General features: G+C 41.0%; 1 protein-coding gene across 8 annotated transcripts in view; it reads left to right on the top strand.

Annotated features, from left to right (window-relative positions):
* SACS (sacsin molecular chaperone) overlaps positions 1-23,942 on the top strand; it is a 104,873-nt gene that overhangs the window by 15,914 nt on the left and 65,017 nt on the right. For all 8 annotated transcript variants that reach the window (XM_047430261.1, XM_047430257.1, NM_014363.6 and 5 more), the window contains exon 2: positions 6,049-6,569. In XM_047430261.1, the coding sequence (XP_047286217.1) occupies positions 6,550-6,569 (20 nt within the window). In that variant the 5' untranslated portion in view covers positions 6,049-6,549. The remainder of the gene's footprint in view (positions 1-6,048; positions 6,570-23,942) is intronic.

Below are 23,942 nucleotides of genomic sequence, written 5' to 3'. Positions count from 1 at the left end.
CCTTGTAGTTTGATTTTAACAATCCTTTCCTTGAGGGTTACTGCTTTCTATTTGTTTTTAAAGGAATTCTTATTTACCCTGAAGCCATAAAGATATTGTGTTCCACTTCCTTCTAAAATTTTTAAGGTTTGATTTTCTCACTTATGTGCTTAATCATCTAGAATTGATACTTGTGCACAGTATGGGGTTCAGATAAATTTTCGTGCTTGTTTCCATATAGTTAACCACTTGCCCCAGTAACATTTTTGGAATGGCCCAGCTTTCCCCCACTAAACCCTGCTGATACCTCTCTCATGTATCAGGTTCTCATTAATGCAAGGGTCTGTCTCTGAGCCTTTTACTCTCTTTGATTGTTCCCATGCGAATGCCACATAATTATTATGGTTTCATGTTAAAGCTTAATATCTTCTAGAGCAAGTCTTCCCTCTTCTTCTTAAGTAGTGTCTTTGGTTATTGTGTTTTTATTCTGCAAGGTTGCTGGGGTTTTGATTCAAATTGCTTTGAATTACAAGATCAATTTGAGGAGAGTTGACATTTCAATGATATTTAATTTTCTGGTTCATCATGTACATAACTCCATTTTTAAAGGGTCTTTTTAATGTCTTTCATTAAAGTTCATAGATTTTCTTCTTAAAATTCCTATGTAAGTTCTTTCATTATAATTATTCCAAGGTAACATTTTTTTCTTGCTTGATAAATGTCTATCATTAACACATACTTTTCTCTTAAACTCTTGCTGGTATGTAGAAATGCAATTTAACTTATATCAGTAATCTTGAAAAAATCTATTATTAACATTGTCAGTTTGTATGAATTTTTTTGAATACTCTATCCATGAATAGTGATGGTTTTGTTCCCCTCTTCCTTCCCCTCCTCCCTGTTCCTCTTTGTTTTTTCTGTCTTGTTCTGGCTGCCCCCTCCAAAACATGCTGAGTAAAAATAGAGATCAAGAAATATCCTTATCACTGCTAAGCATGAGATTTGCCATTTAATTTGCCCTTTAAAAAAGTTCCCTTCTACTTTTTTTTTTTTTTTAAGATGGAGTTTCTTGTTGCCCAGGCTGGAGTGCAATGGCGCGATCTTGGCTCACTGCAACCTCTGCCTCCCGGGCTCAAGCAATTCCCTTGCCTCAGCCTCCCGAGTAGCTGGGACTACAGACATGCGCCACCACGCCCAGCTAATTTTGTATTTTTAGTAGAGACGGGGTTTCACCAAGTTGGTCAGGCTGGCCTCGAACTCCTGGGCCTAAGTGATCTGGCCTCTGTGGCCTCCCAAAGTGCTAGGATTACAGGCGTGAACCACGGTGCCCGGTTGACTTTTTTTCTTTTACCTTAATCAATCTTCCACAAGTTTGCCAATTTTAGTAGTGTTTTTAAGGAATTAACTTTTATTTTTGCTGATAGTCCCCATTGTATCTTTGTTTTCTCTTTCATTAATTCTGCTCTCATCTTTATTTCCTATTTTCTTTGGGTTTATCCCCAAGACATTTTTTCATGAATTCCTTTTTTGAGATGGAGTCGGCTCTGTCCCCCAGGCTGGAGTGCAGTGGCGTGATCTTGGCTCACTGCAACCTCCGCCTAGTGGGTTCAAGTGATTCTCCTGCCTCAGCCTCCCAAGTAGCTGGGATTACAGGCACACACCACCATGCCCGGCTAATTTTTTGTATTTTTTAGTAGAGACAGGGTTTCACCATGTTTGCCAGGCTGGTCACGAACTCCTGACCTCAGGTGACCTAACAGCCTCAGCCCCCCAGAGTGCTAGGATTACAGACGTGAGCCACCACGCCCGGCCTTTTTCCTAAATTCTTAAAATGGATACTTAACTCATTAATTTTTAGCTTTCCTTCCTTCTGGATGAAATCATTAAAGGATATACATTTTCTCATAAATTTACTGATCTCCATTTTTAATAACAAAGAGCAGGTTAAAGACTTAGTGTTTTCAGCAGGCACTTCGATCAGCATTTAATGAGTCATTTTGTATTCATTTTATTTATCTTTAAAGTTATTCTCTATTTGTGGTACTGGGTTTCCATTTATAGTAGATGGAAAGTTTCTTTTCATAATACATTTATTTAATTAAAATATTTTGGGAAAAATAAATATTAAGTAAAGAATAAATAGATGGTGCACAAGTAGGCCAAAGATCACCAAAGTAGTATGTTGTAGCTCAAAAATGAAAAACAAATTATGAGAGTGATTCATCAAGGGCTGTATTTTGAGAAAAGAATGATCTGGGTAACGGCTGCCTTATCACCTTCACATGTATTGGCTCACAGCATACATAATGATTCAATCATGGTAGGTAATTTCTGACAATTATGGAGAGTATGGCAATTTCCAGGGAGATGAACATGTGTAAACGTTCTAAGTTTCCAGGAAAGGAACAATAGTGTTTGGAATTCTAAATTGTGAGTTAGATGTTAATGGCAGAAGTAGTATTAAAATTAAAAGACTGGGCTGGGTGCAGTGGCTCACACCTGTACTCCCAGCACTTTGGGAAGGCTGAGGTGGGTGGATCACCTGAGGTGAGAAGTTCGAGAGCAGCCTGGCTAACATAGTGAAACCCTGTCTCTACTAAAAATACAAAAATTAGCCAGGCATAGTGGTGCATGCCTGTAGTCCCAGCTACTCGGGAGGCTGAGGTAGGAGAATTGCTTGAACCTGGGAGGCGGAAGTTGCAGTGAGCCAAGATAGTGCCACTGCACTCCAGCCTAGGCAACAGAGCGAGACTCCATCTCAAAAAATAAAAAAAAGAAAAGAAAAATAAAAATGAAATTAAAGACTGGATTATTTGAAAGAGATTGCATTCAGAAGGTGTGAGATGAGGACACAGTGATCTCTGAGACCTAGCATGTGTGTATCAAGGACAAGTCATGTCATGTTTAACCCACTTCCCCCTTATTAATGGATGAGACTATCGGACTGGCCAAGCAGTGTAAGTCAGAAGGAAGACTGCAGCTTGGATTAGTAATACATTGGGCAGAATCATCCTATTCTGTTAGAAATGACAGGAATAAATGTGATTGATAACAGTATATTTATAATGGCTAAGAGAGTTACTGAGGAAATATTATCCAAAGATTGATTTTTGTAATAAATGTATCATTGCCCATGGGGAGTAAAATTTAATAATTTGCCACAGAGCTCTATGCTGTTTAGCAGTGTTATCAAACACGCCTGGTGATATGAAGTTAATTAATATTCTACATTACAGAACATGTATTCTTAAAGATATCCACAAACTGGAATTAGAGATTCAGTGAGGTCGACAAGCATGAATGTGCAGTGTTCCACTGAGATCAATACTGCTCTGATTGCCTTCTGATGTTCCTACAGAGGCCGAGCACTAGTGGCAGATAGCCCTGGAGGTCCTGCTTCCAGTGTAACTAATTCCAGATTTCCCTTGAGTTCTGATCTATCATATAAAACCTGCATGTTTTATATTCATATAAACGTGTTTATATTCATACTTTTTTTTCTTTTTGAGACGGAGTCTGGCTCTGTCACCCAGGCGAGAGTGCAGTGGTGCGATCTCTGCTCACTGTAGGCTCCGCCTTCCGGGTTCACACCATTCTCCTGCCTCAGCCTCCTGAGTAGCTGGGACTACAGGTGCCCGCCACCACGCCCGGCTAACTTTTTGTATTTTTAGTAGAGACGGGGTTTCACTGTGTTAGCCAGGATGGTCTGGATCTCCTGACCTCGTGATCCTCCTGCCTCGGCCTCCCAACGTGCTGGGATTACAGGCGTGAGCCACTGTGCACGGCCCCAAGTCCTATATTTTACAGATAAAGAAATTGATCCTAATCCTTTACTTTATTATACATGACCTCTTTTAATTTTAAACATTTCAAACTGGAGTCCAATTTTAAGTCTATTATCATACAAAAGGTTTCCATCCTCTTGCTAATATAGTTCCTTAATTTAATTTTAGTTCTTAAATCCTAAATTTACATATATAGTTTTCTACTTCTTAGCATGGCAATCAAAATTTCATGAATTATTCATGAAAGAATAATAAGATTTTGCATTGATATGTTTGAATTAATCTCACTCATGATGCCTAGTAATATTTTTAATTATAGCAAGTTACTGGGAAAGTGTTTTCAGAAAAGCATTTACAGTGAATATGGAGCTCTTTTCCTGGGTTTTCATGAACATCCAAGAACTGATAATGTAATCAGTATAGCTTAGGTTGTTATTCCTACATTCCTTTTTTTCCCCACAATGAAACATTGTTGCATAGCAAACGCAGAATAAGAAGTCCGGAGCTGGTCTTTCTGTTTCCAGTCCATCCCCTCCTGGTTGGATGGGCTGAAACAAGTAACTGACCTTCCTGTGCATCAAGTTTAACATATCAGCATCTCTACCTTTCTTGTTCTGTCTACTTGAAATTTAGTATGATAATGTCTAAGAGAACATCTTGAAAATTATGAAGTATTTTAGAACAATGAATGGGCAGAAAGTGCAGTCTCATGTGTCCCTCCACTTACCATTGTTTATAAAGTTTGCCGGCCGGGCGCAGTGGCTCATGCCTGTAATCCCAGCACTTTGGGAGGCTAGGGCAGGCGCATCACCTGAGATTGAGAGTTCAAGACCAGCCTGACCAATGTGGAGAAATCCCATCCTCTACTAGAAATACAAAATTAGCTGGGCGTGGTGGTGCTTGCTTGTAATCCCAGCTACTCAGGAGGCTGAGGCTGGAGGATCGATTGAACCCGGGAGGAAGAGGTTGCAGTTAGCTGAGATTGTGCCATTGCACTCCAGCCTAGGCAAAAAGAGCGAAACTCCTTCTCAAAAAACAAAAAAAAAGTTTCTCATTTTTCACTGAGGCTTCCTTGGGTTAGCCCAGATTGTGCCCAGCACCCTAAAAAATAAAAATTAAAAAGAAAGTTTGTCATTTTTTTCTTCTATTTATTTCTTAAAATGTTAGACTATTACAGGCACCAATAGTTACAAGGAATATTACTAGTAAAATAAAGCCTTTCTGATAACACATTTACCCTTCCTTTTCTAAGGTAAATATTTTGCTTTCAAACATGAGTTATTATTGTACACATAAAGTTGTAGGTTTGGGTCGGGTGCAGTGGCTCACACCTGTAATCCCAGCAGTTTGGGAGCTCGAGAGGCAGGGAGATCACTTGAGGTCAAAAGTTCAAGACCAGCCTGGCCAACAGGGCAAAACCCCATCTCCACTAAAAATACAAAAACTAGCTGAGTGTGAGGGCAGGCGCCTGTAATCCCAGCTACTCAGGAGGCTGAGGCAGAAGAATCACTTGAACTCGGGAGGTAGATGTTGCAGTGAGCCAAGATCATGCCACTTCACTCCAGCCTGGACAATAGAGGGAGGCTCTGTCTCAGAGAAAAAAAAAAAAAAAAAAAAGGGTTTGGATTTAAAGGGTGTCGTTCCTGAAAAAAGGCACATCACATGTGAGTGAAGCACATACTGCCACTTGGAAGAAGTCAGAGAAATAGAGGGAACATGAAACTAAGTGGTTAAGTAGATGTACTTCTAATTTTATTTTTTTTGAGACAGAATCTGGCTCTGTTGCCCAGGCGCGGGGAGTGCAGTGGCGCGATCTTGGCTCACTGCAAGCTCCACCTCCCGGGTTCACGCCATTCTCCTGCCTCAGCCTCCCAAGTAGCTGGGACTACAGGCGCCCGCCACCACGCCCGGCTAATTTTTTGTATTTTTAGTAGAGACGGGGTTTCACCGTATTAGCCAGGATGGTCTCAATCTCCTGACCTTGTGACCTGCGCGCCTCTGCCTCCCAAAGTGTTGGGATTACAGGCGTGAGCCACCGCGCCCGGCCGATGTACTTTTAATTTCTGTAGCTGCACATGTGCGTTTGTTGGTTGCCTGTCTTGTGAGGCCAGAAACGAATGCCATGCTCTTTGGCAGAGCTGTAGTGCCACTAGCAGAGTATAATTAGAAAGTCACTGGAGCTGAGTACCATGGCCCTCTTCAATGAGGAATTGCATTTTCAGTGCATTGACTTCAAGTGCTTTTCCTTAACCCTTTCTTTACCCTTCCTTGATTTTTCTTCCAGGATCACAGAAGTGAGGCCAAGATGCCCATGTCACCAGAGCCAGAAGAAAGGCTCCTACCAAAGAATATTTTACATCTGCTGAGATGAGGGTGAGAAACAAAATCCAAGAATTTCTGCGACGTTTTCCCCAAGAACCTTCAAAAAGAAATACAGAAAATTCTCAGATGAAAATAAATTGATTTTGCTCTGGGGGAAAGCCAAAAACCTTTAGCGAATCCACACTGTTTTATCCTGAGAACTTCCATGGGTCGCTGGATCAGCAGGCAACCATTATCAGACTGGAGAGTCATACTTTAAGGAATACAAATGCAACACACGACAATGTTTCCTGACATCAGATGATGAATGGACACTGAAGGGAAAAACAGGCTTTTTTTCCACCTGGCAGGAAGAGCTGAACTTGGAGTACACATTTAAAGGAAGCACAGAGGGAAGACTTAAACAGAAGAAAGAAGCGTACTTTCATGGTTTTCACAAACAAATATCCCAGGAGAAGTGATCATGGAGACCAAGGAGAACAGGTAAATGAGTTAATGTTTTAAATGACAATAATTTGCATTGGGATTTTAAGACTTGTTGGATTTTCCCAAATGAAACATAGGCAAAAACAAATGAAAGCACTCGAGAGGTAAAAGTGAACTAACCATCCATATCTCAGTTCTAACTGAAATTGTATATGTAATTTTTCAAGCCAAGGGTTAAAAATAATTTCTTTGACTTTGCCCAGATAGTTTTGCATTTTGTTTATACTGGTGAGGCTATTGCAATGGAGAGCTAACTAGATGTAGCCCATTTTCTCCTTCATAAAATGTATCTATGAGTGCCTCTCACTGCCATATGATTGTTTGGAAAATATAAAATAAACAACTGTGAAATACTTAGAATTGTATTGAATAACCTGAGGAGAGAGGGAGAGGGGAGAGAGAAAGAGAACTCCACTTTTCCCTTTATAAATTATGACAAAATATAATGCTTGCTCTTTTTCTCAAATTTAGTTGCTATCTTATAAGAATATATGCTTATTTTACAAGCTTGAGGATTTGTGCAAAAAAAAAGTATGTATATTTATATAATTATTCCTTAAATTTCTGTATGTGCTTCTTTTTTTCTTAAGCATAACAAAATACTCTTTCATTAATTCTGAATGCTGTATTTCGATATTACATTCAATAATTGAAATTTTAGTGCCATAGAGATCAGGGAATTCTTCACATCTTGTAACCTAAAGATATCAACAAATAAAACGTCTTGATATTTGGCTTTCCAAAGCAAAACATTGAAAAGAACTCACTGTATTGCTCTTTACCTTTTGAAAATTGTTACCCATTAGACAGTGGAACTAAGTGATACTTTTTCAGTAGTGTTGCCTCTTAGTTTCAGGATTCATTTTGTGACTGGTTGTTATTTAAGTGTGTGAATGGACAAGAGTATTGAGACGACTTTATGGGTTTGATTTTTATTAAATGATTGAAATATTTCATTGTTTTCCATATTTCTAGTATTATGAGAAGTCATGTGAGATTAATTTCCACACCATTACTGATGCTAAATTATTTAAACATGAGAGAAGTCTACTTACCTATCATCATACATGTTATCTTGCAGTATTTCTGTACATTTTTTTAAACCTTCTAAAATGCTTCCATATTAATGCATTCCCTCCTAGTTTTGGAACCAGACTTTTTTTCAAATCAAAGGTGAACCCATTTTCCTTTAACTTTCCAGCTGACTTCTTTGTATTGGTAATTTCGTCTATACATCCATTTTAAAGAGCAGTGACTATGTAGAATCATTGACGCTGACACTAACTATAAATGTTTAATAATTAGGATTGATTTGATGCATCTAAAACCAGCAGGTTATGCTGTCTTTGTATTCAAAATGCAATAAATTCCATTCATAGCTAGAAAAAATATGAATTAACTTTGCGTGTATTTTTGCAGAGATTTACATTATATAGGCTTTACGTACCAAATTACTTAAAGCTAAAATGTTAGTGACTAGATATAGCCACATTTATGAACACACAGAGTAGATGTTTTGAGAGTCAAAACATCAGTCTTTTTTAAAAAAATACACTTTTATCAAACCAGGCTGGTTTATATAAAACCAGCCAGGTGCGGTGGCTCACACCTGTAATCCCAGCACTTTGGGAGGCTGAGGTCAGGAGTTCCAGACTAGCCTGACCAACATGGCAAAACCCCGTCTTTACTAAAAACGCAAAATTAGCTGGGCATGGTGGAGCAATCCCAGCTACTCGGGAGGCTGAGGCAGTAGAATCGCTTGAACCCAGGAGGCGGAGGTTGCAGTGAGCCAAGATCGTGCCATTGCACCAGCCTGGACAACAAGAGTGAAACACCATGTTTAAAAAAAAAAAAAAAAAAAACGGCCAGCGCGGTGGCTCACCCCTGTAATCCCAGCACTTTGGGAGGCCGAGGCGGGCGGATCATGAGGTCAGGAGATCGAAACCATCCTGGCTAACACAGTGAAACCTTGTCTCTACTAAAATACTAAAAACTAGCTGGGCGTGGTGGTGGGCACCTGTAGTCCCAGCTACTAGGGAGGCTGAGGCAGGAGAATGGTGTGAAGCTGGGAGGCGGAGCTTGCAATCAGTGAGCCGAAATCGCACCACTGCACTCCAGCCTGGGCCACACAGGAAGACTCCGTCTCAAAAAAAAAAAAAAAAAAAAAAAAAAAAAAGTAAAACTTGTTTTATTAAGACCATAAATATGCCTAGTCTCATTATTCTGGGGAAAAACAATTCTTTTTTATTTTTTTTGAGACGGAGTCTTGCTCTGTCGCCCAGGCTGGAGTGCAGTGGCGCAATCTCGGCTCACTGCAAGCTGCGCCTCCCGAGTTCATGCCATTCTCCTGCCTCAGCCTCCCGAGCTGGGACTACAGGTGCCCACCACCACGCCCGGCTAATTTTTTGTATTTTTAGTAGAGATGGGGTTTCACCGTGTTAGCCAGGATGGTCTCGATTTCCTGACCTCGTGATCCACCCGCCTCGGCCTCCCGAAGTGCTGGGATTCCAGGCGTGAGCCACTGTGCCAGGCCAAAAAGAAAATTGTTAAAGAGGATCCACTCTAGGCTTCTGGAGCTCTGGTGTCCATAGTTGTGTGTGAGGGTGGTGGGGGCATGCTCAGAGTCACAGCATTAACACACAGGGCCTTCTCAGGCCCTGGCTTTATGGAAATATTGTGGGAAAAGCAGTTAAATTATCTATCTAATAAGGCATGTAGAACGTGATGTACACAATGAAATGAAAGCAGATATAGTATTAAATATATTCATCTGAAGTTTCAAGCTAAACGTTGCAACATAACGAATCTCATTTGTTGAAAGCTGCTTTGGGACTGGCTCCTTCTCCATTGCTTTCAGGAAGATGTTGGAGCCTCAGAATATGTTAGTGCAAAAGGCAGATTCCAGAGGTGGGCCAGATTTGGGGAAACTGCCCCAAGGGTCCTGAGGAAACAGCTCTAGTTACAGTGTGCGTAAGAGCAGGGCATACTTGGGCTTAATTCAGACGAGTGGAAATGTCTAGGAATCCTCTCTTATGTTGGGGGGCGGGGGCTTCATTTGATGAATGTGACAACTGAAGTCACATGACTTGCTCAAAATCATATTCTGACACCTATTAAAATAGTAAAGAAGACTTTACTCAGGACTACTTTGATAGGCATCAAGACGATTGCAACAGGGGAGAGGGATAGGGACTCAACTCCTAATACAGCACAGACAGCTGAGGATTCACAGCCAATGTGCAGTGTGAGGGGTCACTGCATGGAAAATTACTAAGGGGGAATGTCAAAAGTCAGGGACTCTTGCTGAACTGACTTGAAACAATGATCGGCTATCAAGGTGGGGTTGAGGAATCCGATGGGATGTGGAGGTGATCAGATAGCCGGAGTCAGGGGATTCTGTCTGAACTGACTTGGCGGGATGCATGCACCAGCTGGGCTAGGCAGGTCAAAGGCAGGACCCGAAGACAATGCCGTGTCAAAAAGAGGGCGTGGGGGAGCCTGTCTAATGTTTGGTTAAAGAGAAAGTCTATTTTAGTTCCCCCTGTTGTTCATGAAAGAACAGACATTCTTCTGTCTGAACCATCTAAGTCCATTTCTTGTTGGTTGTCTTTTTTGTTCATTAAGGACCAGCTGAACCATCTGTTGAGACTTGGTGATAGAGGATATTTGCTGGATGCTTCAATAAGTCAGACATTTATGAAAAACAAAAAGAAAAACAGGCCGGGCGTGGTGGCTCACGCCTGTAATCCCAGCACTTTGGGAGGCCGAGGTGGGCAGATCACGAGGTCAGGAGATGGAGACCATCCTGGCTAACACGGTGAAACCCCGTCTCTACTAAAAATAGAAAAAGATTAGCCGGGCGTGGTGGCAGGCGCCTGTAGTCCCAGCTACTTGGGAGGCTGAGGCAGGAGAATGGTGTGAACCTGGGAGGTGGAGCTTGCAGTGAGCCGAGATTGCGCCACTGCACTCCAGCCTGGACAACAGAGCAAGACTCCGTCTTGAAAAAAATAAATAAATAAAAAGAAAAACAAAGATGCATGGGTAGAGCAGACTGTAAACTCAGTTTCTGAGTCTAGATGTTGGGCTTACAGTATCTTCGGGTGGCAGAATGAGGATGGCAGTGGCCCTCTAGTGGCTGTCCTGGCTTTCAGTTTGAATGTCCTTGGTGATGGCATAGACATCAGTGTCACGGTCATGGTTATTTCCTGGAGCAGAGTGTGGAAGATACACTGTGCCAAATGGCTGACTTTAATTTGCAAAGAGGTGAAAAATAGCTCAAAGACAGTGAACACATCTAGAAACTGATAACCTACAAGGGTGTGCTGTAGATTGAAGCATAAAATATCTCTCTACAATGATGTCCCCTTTTTGATTCAAGATAACCAAAGTAAGATTGTTTTCATTGACAAAATGTCTGGTTTCATTAGATTTGGCCTGATTATTTACATAAATGCAAAAAATAATAATTGATGACGTGAGGGGTTTTTTTGCCCATTAATTTTTTAAAGTCAGGTTTAATAGGATACAATTTACCTATAATAAAATTCTCCCTTTTTGTAAATTTATTGTGATTTGAAAATACTAAAATTCATGATACGAATTCATGGTAAGAGAAGTGTTTTATGTGGAATTGGCAGTTATTTAGTTGATATTAGGAGAAATAATACTTAATATTAGAACTTTTTTTTATTATACTTTAAGTTTTGGGATACATGTGCAGAACGTGTGGGTTTGTTACATAAGTATACATGTACCATGGTGGTTTGCTGCACCCATCAATCTGTCATCTACATTAGGTATTTCTCCCAATGCTATCCCTCCCCTAATCCCCACCCCCCGACAGGCCCTGGTGTGTGGTGTTTCCCCCCACCGTGTCCATGTGTTTTCATCGTTCAACTCCCACTTACGAGTGAGAACATGTGGTGTTTGGTTTTCTGTTCCTGTGTTAGTTTGCTGAGAATGATGGTTTCCAGCTTCATCCATGTCCCTGCAAAGGACAGGAACTCATCCTTTTTATGGCTGCATAGTATTCCATTGTGTGTATGTGCCATATTTCCTTTATCCAGTCTATCAATGATGGGCATTTGGATTGGTTCCAATCTTTGCTATTGTGAACAGAGCTGCAATAAACATACGTGTGCATGTGTCTTTAGAGTAGAATGATTTATAATCCTTTGGGTATATACCCAGTAACGGGATTGCTGGGTCAAATGGTATTTCTGGACAGTGAGGAATCGCCACACTGTCTTCCACAATGGTTGAACTAATTTACACTCCCACCAACAGTGTAAAAGCTTTCCTATTTCTCCACATCCTCTCCAGCATCTGTTGTTTCCTGACTTTTTAATGATCACCATTCTAACTGGCATGAGACAGTATCTCATTTTGGTTTTGATTTGCATTTCTCTAATGGCTAGTGATGAGCTTTTTTTCAAATGTTTGTTGGCCACATAAATATCTTCTTTTGAGAAGTGTCTGTTCATATCCTTTGTCCACTTTTTAATGGGGTTTTTTTTTTCCTTGTAGATTTGTTTAAGTTCCTTGTAGATTCTGGATATTAGCCCTTTGTCAGATGGATAGATTGCAAAAATTTTCTCCCATTCTGTTCACTCTGATGATAGTTTCTTTTGCTGTGCAGAAGTTCTTTAGTTTAATTAGACCCCATTTGTCAATTTTGGCTTCGATTGCCATTGCTTTTGGTGTTTCAGTCATGAAGTCTTTGCCCATGCCTATGTCCTGAATGGTATTGCCTAGGTATTCTAGGATTTTTATGGTTTTAGGGCTTACATTTAAGTCTTTAATCCATCTTGAGTTAATGTTTGTATAAGGTGTAAGGAGTCCAGTTTCAGTTTTCTGCAAATGGCTAGCCAGTTTTCCCAATACCATTTATTAAGTAGGGAATCTTTTCCCCATTGCTTGTTTTTGTCAGATTTGTCAAAGTTCAGATGGTTGTAGATGTGTGGCATTATTTCTGAGGACTCTTTTCTGTTCCACTGGTTTATATATCTGTTTTGGTACCAGTACCATGCTGTTTTGGCTACTGTAGACTTGTAGTATAGTTTGAAGTCTGGTAATGTGATGCCTCCAGCTTTGTTATTTTTGCTTAAGATTATCTTGGCTTATACGGGCTCTTTTTTGGTTCCATATGAAATTTAAAGTAGTTTTTTCTAATTATTTGAAGAAAATCAATGGTAGCTTGATGGAGACAGCATTGAATCTATAAATTACTTTGGGCAGTATGGCCATTTTCACGATATTGATTCTTCCTATCCATGAGCGTGGAATGTTTTTTCATTTGTTTGTGTCCTCTCATATTTCCTTGAGCAGTGGTTTGTAGTCCTCCTTGAAAAGGTCCTTCACATCCCATGTAAGGTGTATTCTTAGGTATTTTATTCTTTTTGTAGCGATTGTGAATGAAAGTTCGCTCATGATTTGGCTATTATTGGTGTATAGAAATGCTTGCGATTTTTTCATGTTGATTTTGTGTCCTGAGACTGCTGAAGTTGCTTCTCAGCTTAAGGAGATTTTGGGCTGAGATGATGGGGTTTTCTAAATATGCAATCATGTCATCTGCAAATAGTGACAGTTTGACTTCCTATCTTCCTATTTGAATACCCTTTATTTCTTTCTCTTGCCTGATTGCCCTGGCCAGAACTTCCAATACTATTTTGAATAGGAGTGGTGAGAGAGAGCATCCTTGTCTTGTGCCGGTTTTCAAAGGGAATGCTTCCAGCTTTTGCCCATTCAGTATGATATTGGCTGTGGGTGTGTCGTAAATAGCTGTTATTATTTTGAGATACATTCCATGAATACCTAGTTTATTGAGAGTGTTTAGCATGAAGGAGTGTTGAATTTTATCAAAGGCCTTTTCTGCATCTATTGAGATAATCACGTGGTTTTTGTCATTGGTTCTTTTTATGTGATGGATTACGTTTATTGATTTGCGTATGTTGAACCAGCCTTGCATCCAACATCTACGGAACTCTCCACCCCAAAGCAACAGAATATACATTCTTCTCAGCACTACATCGCACTTAAAATTGACCACATAATTGGAAGTGAAACACTCCTCAGCAAATGCAAAAGAACGCAAATCATAACCAACAGTCTTTCAGACCACAGTGCAATCAAATTAGAATTTAGGATTAAGAAACTCACTCAAAACCGCACAACTAAATGGAAACTGAACAACCTGCTCCTGAATGATTACTGGGTAAATAACAAAATTAAGGCAGAAATAAATAAGTTCTTTGAAACCAATGAGAACAAAGACACAATGTACCAGAATCTCTGGGATACTGCTAAAGCAGTGTTTAGAGGGAAATTTATAGCACTAAATGCCCACAGGAGAAGGCAGGAAAGATCTGAAATTGACACCCTAACATCACAATTAAAAGAACTAGAGAAGCAAGAGCAAACACATTCAAAAACTAGCAGAAGACAAGAAATAACTAAGATCAGAGCAGAACTGAAGGAGATAGAGACACAAAAAAACCCTTCAAAAAATCAAGGAATCCAGGACCTGTTTTTTTGAAAAGATTAACAAAATAGATCGCTAGCCAGACTAATAAAGAAAGGAGAGAAGAATCAAATAGACATAATAAAAAAGGATAAAGGGAATATCACCACTGATCCCACAGAAATGCAGACTACCATCAGAGAATACTATAAACACCTCTACCCAAATAAACTAGAAAATGTAGAGAAGATGGATAAATTCCTGGACATATACACCCTCCCAAGACTAAACCAGGAATAATTTGAATCCCTGAATAGACCAATAACAAGTTCTGACATTGAGGCAGAAATTAATAGCCTGCCAACCAAAAAAAGCCCAGGAGCAGCCAAATTCTACCAGAGGTAAAAAGAGGAGCTGGTACCATTGCTTCTGAAACTATTCCGAACAACAGAAAAAGAGGGACTCCTCCCTAACTCATTTTATGAAGCCAGCATCATCCTGATACCAAAACCTGGCAGAGACGTGAGTTTTTTGAAGTTTGCTTTGCTGGAACTTGTGAGAAGGACTTTTTTTTTTTTTTAAGGTGGAGTCTCACTCTGTTGCCCAGGCTAGAGTGCAGTGGTGTAGTCTCGGCTCACTGCAACCTCCACCTTCTGGGTTCAAGCGATTCTCCTGCCTCAGCCTCCCGAGTAGCTGGGATTACGGGCATCTGCCACCACGCCCAGCTAATTTTTTTTGTATTTTTAGTAGAGACAGGGTTTCATCATGTCGGCCAGGCTGGTCTCGAACTCCTGCCTAGTGATCTGCCTGCCTTGGCCTCCCAAAGTGCTGGGATTATAGGCGTGAGCCACCATGCCCGGCCCTGATTAAACTTTTGAAAGCATCTGCAGGTTAGGAAGCCATGCTAAGAACTTGCTCTCAGACTTTATCTGCAATACCTATATATTTGGGTGAATTCCTCTTTTCTGGGTCCTAAGGTTCCTGGGCCTGCCAGAAAATGACCTTCTTTACTCTTCTGGAAGGCTGGGAACTCCATAAGCAAGGTACCAGGCAGATTTCCCGAGAGGGCTTTGTAAGCATTCTCTCCATAAAGTCAACCTTCATTCCTTAAAACTGTCTGCTCATATCTGATTCTGTGCATATCATTCTCAAATATGACATTCCAGTCAAAGCCTTTGTCATATGACCAAAGTTTCCAATTATGCCTTGTTACAAGGGGAACAGATTCCTATTGAACTTATGCAAATAAATATATAACTATGAAGATGAGTTTCTGAATTCTGGAGGGATTAGGTGGGAAGGCAAAGGTAAATGCTTTATTTCTGTTTACAAAGGCATAATCACTAAATTGCATGGTATAGATTGTGAATTATAGGTAGTTTAACTGTTATAGATAGCTTAACAGAAAAGGAATTTCTTAAATCCAACAGCAATATTCCAAACAAAAACCATTGTCATCATTTATTAGTTCATTCAGTCCCGTGTAATTAATTGTTGTTCTGCTTGATCTAAGGTTAGCAATTTTATGAATCCATAGCTTCTCTACTATATCTCTGGAAAGTCTTTTTTTTTTTTTTTTCGAGATGGAGTCTCGCTCTTTTGCCCAGGCTGGAGTGCAGTGGCGCAATCTCAGCTCACTGCAAGCTCCGCCTTCCAGGTTCATGCCATTCTCCTGCCTCAGTCTCCCGAGTAGCTGGGACTACAGGCACTTGCCACAACACCTGGCTAATTTTTTGTGTCTTTTGTGGAGACGGGTTTCACCCTGTTAGCCAGGATGGTCTCAATCTCCTGACCTCATGATCTGCCTGACTTGGCCTCCCAAAGTGCTGGATTAGAGGCGTGAGCCACTGCGCCTGGCCTCTGGAAACTCTTAGTCTAGTAGTGTGGCCTCAAAGTTAATAAGGAATGCCATCAGGAGTCTGTTCCCAGATTACCTGGCTTAGTTCTTTCCATGGATCTCTGAGACAGTCCCTTTTTGGTGAGGACAAGCACTTCGGCCTGTGATTGCAGATGCTTCTGGAAAAGCATCACAGTAGAAAGTAAAACAAAAGTGGTGCAAAAGCCTTAAGACGGTTAAAGAGCTAATGAAAGTTTATTTGACAAGGAAATTTTGTTATTTCTGTGGCATGTGTGAACCTCCAAAATTTGAGACAGGTCTCAGTTAATTTAGAAAGTTTATTTTGCCAAGGTTGAGGATCCGTCCATGACATAGCCTCAGGAAGTCCTGATGACATGTGCCCAAGGTGGTCACGGCAGAGGTTGGTTTTCTACATTAAGGGAGACATGAGACATCCATCAATATATGTAAGAAATACAGTGGTTTGGTCTGGAAAGGTGGGACAACTTGAAGCAAAGGCATGAAGACTGGAAGTGGGGAGGGAGCTTCCAGGTCACAGATAGGTGATACACAAGTGGTTGCATTCCTTTGAGTTTCTGATTAGTCTTTCCAAAGGAGGCAAATCAGATATGCATCTATCTCAGAGAGCAGAGGAGTGACTTTGAATAGAATGGGAGGCAGGTTGGCCCTAAGCAGTTCCCAGCTTGAGTTTTCCTGAGCGATTTTGGGGGCCCAAGATCTTTTCCTCTTATATGTGTAACATTTTAAAACGGTAACTAGAATTATGACTAAAAATATTACACCAGGACATGTCATGGACAATGCAGGTATTGACACATTTTCTAGGAACTTCTTATAATTTCTAAAATATTTATATTAATAATATTTACCCATTTGAATGTAACCTAGCAAAGGTTAGGTATCTTTTTTATTTGATACGCTTTTTATTCAGTTCAACAAATCGAATAAACTTAATAATTTTTAACACCACTCTATTTACAAGGTGAAAGAACAAATTTGGGAGGATTTTCCAAGGGCCTTATGGGAAAACTCAAGGTCAATTGTAGATCAAGGTTTTGTTTAGGATTTGATTTGGGGAAGGCAAAATTGTCAAAAATATCAAGAGGTTTGAACATTTGACTAAATAGGATGTTAGGTTGGTGTGAAACAATGCTTAGCTACCTATTTAACCAAAGTGACTGGCCGGGCGCGGTGGCTCACGCCTGTAATCACAGCACTTTGGGAGGCCGAGGCGGGCGGATCACGAGGTCAGGAGATCGAGACCATCCTGGCTAACACGGTGAAACCGTGTCTCTACTAAAAATACAAAAAATTAGCCGGGTGTGGTGGCGGGCACCTGTAGGCCCAGCTACTCGGGAGGCTGAGGCAGGAGAATGGCATGAACCCAGGAGGCGGAGCTTGCAGTGAGCCGAGATGGCACCACTGCACTCCAGCCTGGGTGACAGAGCGAGACCCCTTCTCAAAAAAATAAAATAAAATAAGTAAATAAAAATAACCAAAGTGACTGAGGACTAAGCTCTGATTTTTATCTTACCCAAATTCCTATCTAAGGGGTCTAGGGAGTCATGCCATATAAACCATAAATTCTAATCAGATGGGTTATATTTGACCCTATATATTGTGACTTACAATTCAGTCTCACTCTGGCATAACATTATGAGACAAGGGAAAAAGATTTAACCTCAAAATATATTTCCTTGCCATACCTTGAAATTGCCCTGCTAAATCTCTTGTGGGAAAAATCCACATTCTATAGAGAATCCCCTTCCCTTGTTTGTTTTCCTTCCTTCCTTCCTTCCCAGATCCAGGAGATAATTGTAAGAGTTAAAGAAAGAGGAAAGAAACACAAAATGTGGCTTGGCAGTCAAAGACAGGTTTTCTTTAGTTAAAACCTGAGAGGCACCCCTGGCCGATAGCAGTCAGGAGCACTTTCTCTTATAGGTTAAGAGTATATATTGGTTTTAGGGTGAGGGGGCTTATCACAAGCTTGGAATGTTTATGTGTGCGGAGAAGTTTATGGCAGGGTTGGAAGCTCTCTGGTAGGAGGGGAGGTTATCTCAAGGCTGGCATCTTCCTGGCTGGAGGGGGCTTATCTAGGGGCTAGCATGTCTGTGATGGGGGATGTTAGAAACAAGAGCTCAGAGTCACAAGGAAAACGAGCACTCAAAGGATTTCTCAGCAAGACAAATTTACTTCTGCAGAAGGGTGCCACTCACACTTCTGGCCACTGGGAGAACACACCAAACAAAGGAGGGAAGGGGGTTTCATCCCTAACGTGGTTAGTCCCTGCTTCTGTGTCCTATCCCCATAGGCTGGAGTAGGAGTGTACTATCTAAACTGACCCAATTGGCTACTGTTTAAAATTGAATATGGCTAATTAGGTGGGAAGGGAGAGGCTGTCCATTACAGTACAAGACATGTTTGGGCATGTCAGGGCACGGCAAAGGCGGGAAGGGTAGTTTCGGCGGGAGGGGCAGTTTACAGAATGGGTAGCCAGAAGTAAAAGAGGACTCTTCCCAAACAAGGAAGAGATGTGAGTTACAGATTGGGACCGGCAGAAGTTGTTACAGAGCAAGTAGCTTAGGAGAAGGGACAAGGAAGTTGATCTCGAGAACAAAGAACAAAGGAGGTCAGAAATTAAACCTTTGAAAAGGAACTTACTGTATCTGACAGGGAGGAGTTTGGGATGTTTCTGGTTGGAGATGTTATTTGTGGTTTATGGTCATGCTGACCTTAGCCATCAGGCTGATGCCGTTTAGATTTAGGTGTTTTTTTATTAAGGTGAACTTTAGAATGAGGGGCTTGTCCAAGATGGCGATGCTCCTGCTCTATCAATAATTAACTAAGAGCCAGGCATCCATGTTTTTTTTTTTTTTTTTTGAGATGGAGTCTCACTCTGTTACCAGACTGAAATGCAGTGGCGCAATCTCGGCTCACTGCAACCTCTGCCTCCCAGGTTCAAGCAATTCCCCTGCCTCAACCTCCCGAGTAGCTGGGACTGCTCCCAGCTAATTTTTTTTTGTATTTTAGTAGAGATGGGGTTTCACCATGTTGGCCAGGGTGGTCTCAACCAGGCATCCTTTTAAGTCCAATAAAAAACAATTTACAACCTGCTCTCTCTGAAGTCTGTTATCTAAGAGCTTCCTCTGCACAATAAAACTTTGTCTCCACAATCCTTTACCTTAACCTAAACATTCCTTTCCGTTGATCCCAGATCTCAATTGTCCTCAAATAATAATATTTGATAAGCTCAACCAATTGTCAACCAGACAATGTTTAAATTTACCTATAGCCTGGAAGCCCCTGCTTTGAGTTGTTCCACCTTTCTGAACCAAACGAGTGTATTTCTTTTTTTTTTTTTTTTTGAGACGGAGTTTCACTCTTGTCGCCCAGGCTGGAGTGTAATGGTGCCATCTCGGCTCACTGCAACCTTTGCCTCCTTGGTTCAAGCAATTCTCCTGCCTCAGCCCCCCGAGTAGCTGGAACTACAGGCATGCACCACCACGCCTCGCTAATTTTTTATATTTTTAGTAGAGATGGGGTTTCACTGCATTGGCCAGGCTGGTCTCGAACTCCTGACCTCAGGTGATCTGCCCACCTTGGCCTCCCGAAGTGCTAGGATTACAGGCATGAGCCACCACACCCAGCTAAAACCATGTATTTCTTAAATGTATTTTTAAAATTTAATTTAATTTTATTTTATTTTTTGAGATGGAGTTTCGCTCTTGTTGCCCAGGCTGGAGTGCAATGGCGTGATCTTGGCTCACTGCAACCTCCACCTCCTGGGTTCAAGCGATTCTCCTGCCTCAGCCTCCTGAGTAGCTGGGATTACAGGCATGCATCACCACGCCCAGCTAATTTCATATTTTTGGCAGAGACAGGGTTTCTCCGTGTTGGTCAGGCTGGTCTCGAACTCCCGACCTCAGGTGATCTGCCCACCTCGGCCTCCCAAAGTGTAGGGATTACAGGCATCAGCCACCACGCCTGGCCTTCTTAAATGTATTTAACTGATGTCTCATGCCTCTCTAAAATATATAAAACCAAGCTGTACCTCAACCACCCTGGGCATATGTTCTCAGAATCTCCTGAGTGATGTGTATGGGCCATGGTCACTCATATTTGGCCCATAATAAATCTCTTCAAATATTTTACAGAGTTTGACTCTTTTCTTTGATATGACAGTAATAGTATTCAAAAGTAAATAGAGGTGGTAACATAATTGTAAAAAACCTTAGCTCTTAAATGTGAGAGGACTTGGTCCTTTTAAATTGCCAAGGACATGGTAAAGGTTAGGACAGGAAATTATTCTGAGAAGACATAAAATCTTTGTTTCCTAGGTGGATTACTCAAAAGATAAAGAAAACCTTTTTAAAATATGTTACTAAGAGCAGATCAATAATCCAAGAAAACTTTGTCATTTTAACAGAGACTAAAATGCATTAAAAAAGAAACCTTATAAATAAATTAATCCAATCTTAGTGAGCTTTGGCCACATGAGATAAGATTCCTTTTGCAATATTTCTCACAAACCTTTTACAACTTTTTATAGTTATTCAAGTTTTGTCCTATATTTGTTTCTTTCTCATTCTGGAACAACCAGTCATTTTACTTTAGAACAAAATTACTCTCTTTTCCCTTAATGAAAACAGAGTTTGCAAACAAAGTTGTTTCACCTCACCCTTATTAATTGTAATAGTTTCCTTTACAAATATGGATTATAATTTTTAACCATTACCAACCTTTTTTTAACAGAGAGAACTAGGAAGTAGACAACTGTGAATTGTCTGTTGTGTACCAGCATTCTGTAGAAGGCTAGCAAGTTTTATGAATCTACCATCTCACAATTATTATAGGATTATGCTGTCTTATAGTATAATTTTTCATATTTATTAACAAGCCTAAATACATAGGCCCCCTAGACCATATAATAATAAGAAGCCAAAATTATGTAATCTTAAACTTAGGCTTAGTAATTAATGTTTCAGTACTTGAGATTGCTTAGAAATTGCTAATGAATGTCTATTACTTAGTATAACTCTAAGGCTGCCAGTTGCCAAAAAGATTTTAGAAACTGTTTTTAGCAGACATATTATAACATTATACAAAGCTAGCCATCATCTTAACTATTTAAGTTAACTTAACTGTTAACTATTTTCAGTTAACATACACATGTTAGGCATGTATCACAAAATTAAAGAAAAACAGTGAAAAGATTTAAATATGTGGATTTCTATTTGTTTTACTGCTTGTTTGATATATATGAAGTAATGTATGTCAAGCAATTCATTTTTACTGCATCTTTACTTACACATTTGTTCTTAGGTTAAATTTATAATTTAAAAATTAATCTTAAACATCTAGTGGTTATAATTTTACCTTAATTGACCGTAAATCCAAGAATAATGCTTATATTTAATGCTGATAATTCATTTTTATTAAACCAATAATTCCAAAATAGTCTTAGTTATTAAAAATTTACTCAAATCATATGAGCTTGAAAAACATTTGGGTTGGTATCTGGATTTCTGGGAGTTTTAGGATATTGAATTTATATAAGTTCTTTTTTTTTTTTTTTTGAGACAGATTCTGGCTCTGTCGCCCAGGCTGGAATGCAGTGGCACACTCTTGGCTCACTGCAACCTCTGCCTCCTGGGTTCAAGCAATTCTCCTGCCTCGGCCTCCCAAGTAGCTGGGGTTACAGGTGCCTGCCACCACGTTTGGCTAATTTTTGTGTTTTTAGTAGAGACACGGTTTCACCATGTTGGCCAGGCTGGTCGCGAACTCCTGACGTCAAATAATCTGTCCACCTCGGCCTCCCAAAGTGCTGGGATTACAGGCATGAACTACTGCACCCGGCCTGAATTTATATAAGTTCTGATTTATCTCTAAGCCAATGTGAATAGAAATCCTTAAAGGGATTTTATAAGTTAACTTGGCAATCCCATGCAGAGGTAGAAAAATACCATACACACATAACATACATGCATACGTATATAAAGTTACATACAGATGCAAATAGAGACCTTGTAGCTTTCATTCGAATATTGTAGCTACATGTCAGGTAAAAAGAGTAAAATAAATTTCACAGGTTTGTATAAAATACTTGGCTCTCATCTTTGCCCTGCTTCCTAAGTGTTTCTGACAGATAGAATAAGGTAAGGTTACCTGCTCACTACGAGGGCTAATGCTTTCCACCAATATTTATGGAGGAGACTTGTAAGATTTTCATTTGCTCATATATCTGATTGCTTTTGGGGGTCCTTTGAGAGCTCCTGATGTGGGTAGGAGGCCTAAGATTCCGGTGATTGTAGGGAGGTGGGAGGCTTGAGTGGGAAGGGAAAGTTCTGGCAGAAGTGGACAGGTGGATGGTGGAGAAGTAGGGGTTTCAAAGACAACATATTAAAGGATTCAAAGGAACTGAAGGGAAGATCAAAGGTGGTGAAAGGAGGAAAGAGGAGCAGAGGGGATAGGAAGGGGGAGGTCTTAAAGGTGCCCGTTTGGGGAAGCCATCAAAGTTCCAAATTATCCTTAGTAAAATTATGCCATAAGGAAGGAAGTGGACAGAGTGAGTGCATGCCCTAGTGGCCCTAGTGGTGGAGCATACAGCCATCAAGGGCTTGAGAAGGGGGGTTTCAGTGACTGAGAAGCTCCCATACTCTTAACTAATGGTACTTTGCAAGCAATGAAGCCTAGGACTCTGACCCAGCCTCTATATTTAATAAACAGGGAAGCCCAGGACTCTGACCCAGCCTCCATATTTAATAAACAGGGAAGCCCAGGACTCTGACCCAGCCTCCCTGTCGAATGAACAGAGAAGCCTAGGACTCCTCTAAACCAGCTTCTACAGTATACTCAATCTTAAGAATCAAAGTCTGTCTTTACCTGGAGCACTGGCTTAGGAGTTGGACTCATGAACGGATCCCTAATAAATCAGTCAGAACTGAAGAAAAGGCTTCAAAGGTGTGTGTCTGGGTATGAGAGGTCCAAGGATCCAATGATAAGATGAGAGGTCCAGGAGTCCAATGACGAATCTTTGTTTGTTTTCGAGAGGGAGACTTGCTCTGTCACCCAGTCTGGAGTGCAGGTGCGCGATCTCGATTCACTGCAACCTCTGTCTCCCGGGTTCAGGTGATTCTCCTGCCTCAGCCTCCCGAGTAGCTGGGACTACAGATGTGTGCCACCACACCTGGCTAATTTTTTGTATTTTTAGCAGAGATGGGGTTTCACCATGTTGGCCAAACCAGTCTCAAACTCCTGACCTCAGGTGATCCACTTGCCTCAGCCTCCCAAAGTGCTGGGATTATAGGCATGAGCCACTGCGCCCAGCCCTAATGATGAATCTGATCCTATGCAAGTCATGACACTGTAAGTGTTAAAGAACAAATTATTCTGACATTTGTTTAAATGGTGAGGAAGACTTTTTAGGGCTATTGCTACACAATGGGGGTGAGATTGGGCTCAACTCCCAATATGGCAAAGAGAGCTGGGGATTTCTAGTCAAGGAGCAGAGGGTTCAGTGCATGGAAATTCCCAAGGGGAGACATCAAGGGTAGAGGATTCTTGCTGATGGCAGGCCAGGTTGATCAGATATTAAAGGTAGGGGAGTCTTGCTAAACTGACTTAGCAGCATTCTTGCTACAACTGAATAGGTAGGCCAAAGACAGGGCCCCAGGACGAGGTATAGTGGAAAAGAGGGCCATTGGTGATGGAACTCAATCTCCAGCACCTCACCTCTCCCTGGAGATCAGGGGTGAGGCTGAAAGTTCCAGCCCATTAATCACGTGGTTGGTTCGCTTGGCCACCAGCCCCCACCTGGAAGCTATCTAAAGAATAACAAGAAGGCCAGGCACCGTGGCTCATGCCAGTAATCCCAGCCCTTTGGGAGGCTGAGGCAGGCAGATCACGAGGTCAGGAGATCCAGACTATCCTGGATAACACGGTGAAACCTCATCTCTACTAAAAATACAAAAAATTAGCCGGGCGCGGTGGCAGGCGCCTGTAGTCCCAGCTACTCGGGAGGCTGAGGCAGGAGAATGGTGTGAACCCAGGAGGC

The sequence above is a fragment of the Homo sapiens genome, chromosome 13 (genome assembly GCF_000001405.40).
Source record: "Homo sapiens chromosome 13, GRCh38.p14 Primary Assembly".
Lineage (NCBI taxonomy): Eukaryota > Metazoa > Chordata > Mammalia > Primates > Hominidae > Homo > Homo sapiens.
The sequence above is the reverse complement of the archived record's forward strand: the minus strand, read 5'-3'. Positions and strand labels throughout refer to the sequence as shown.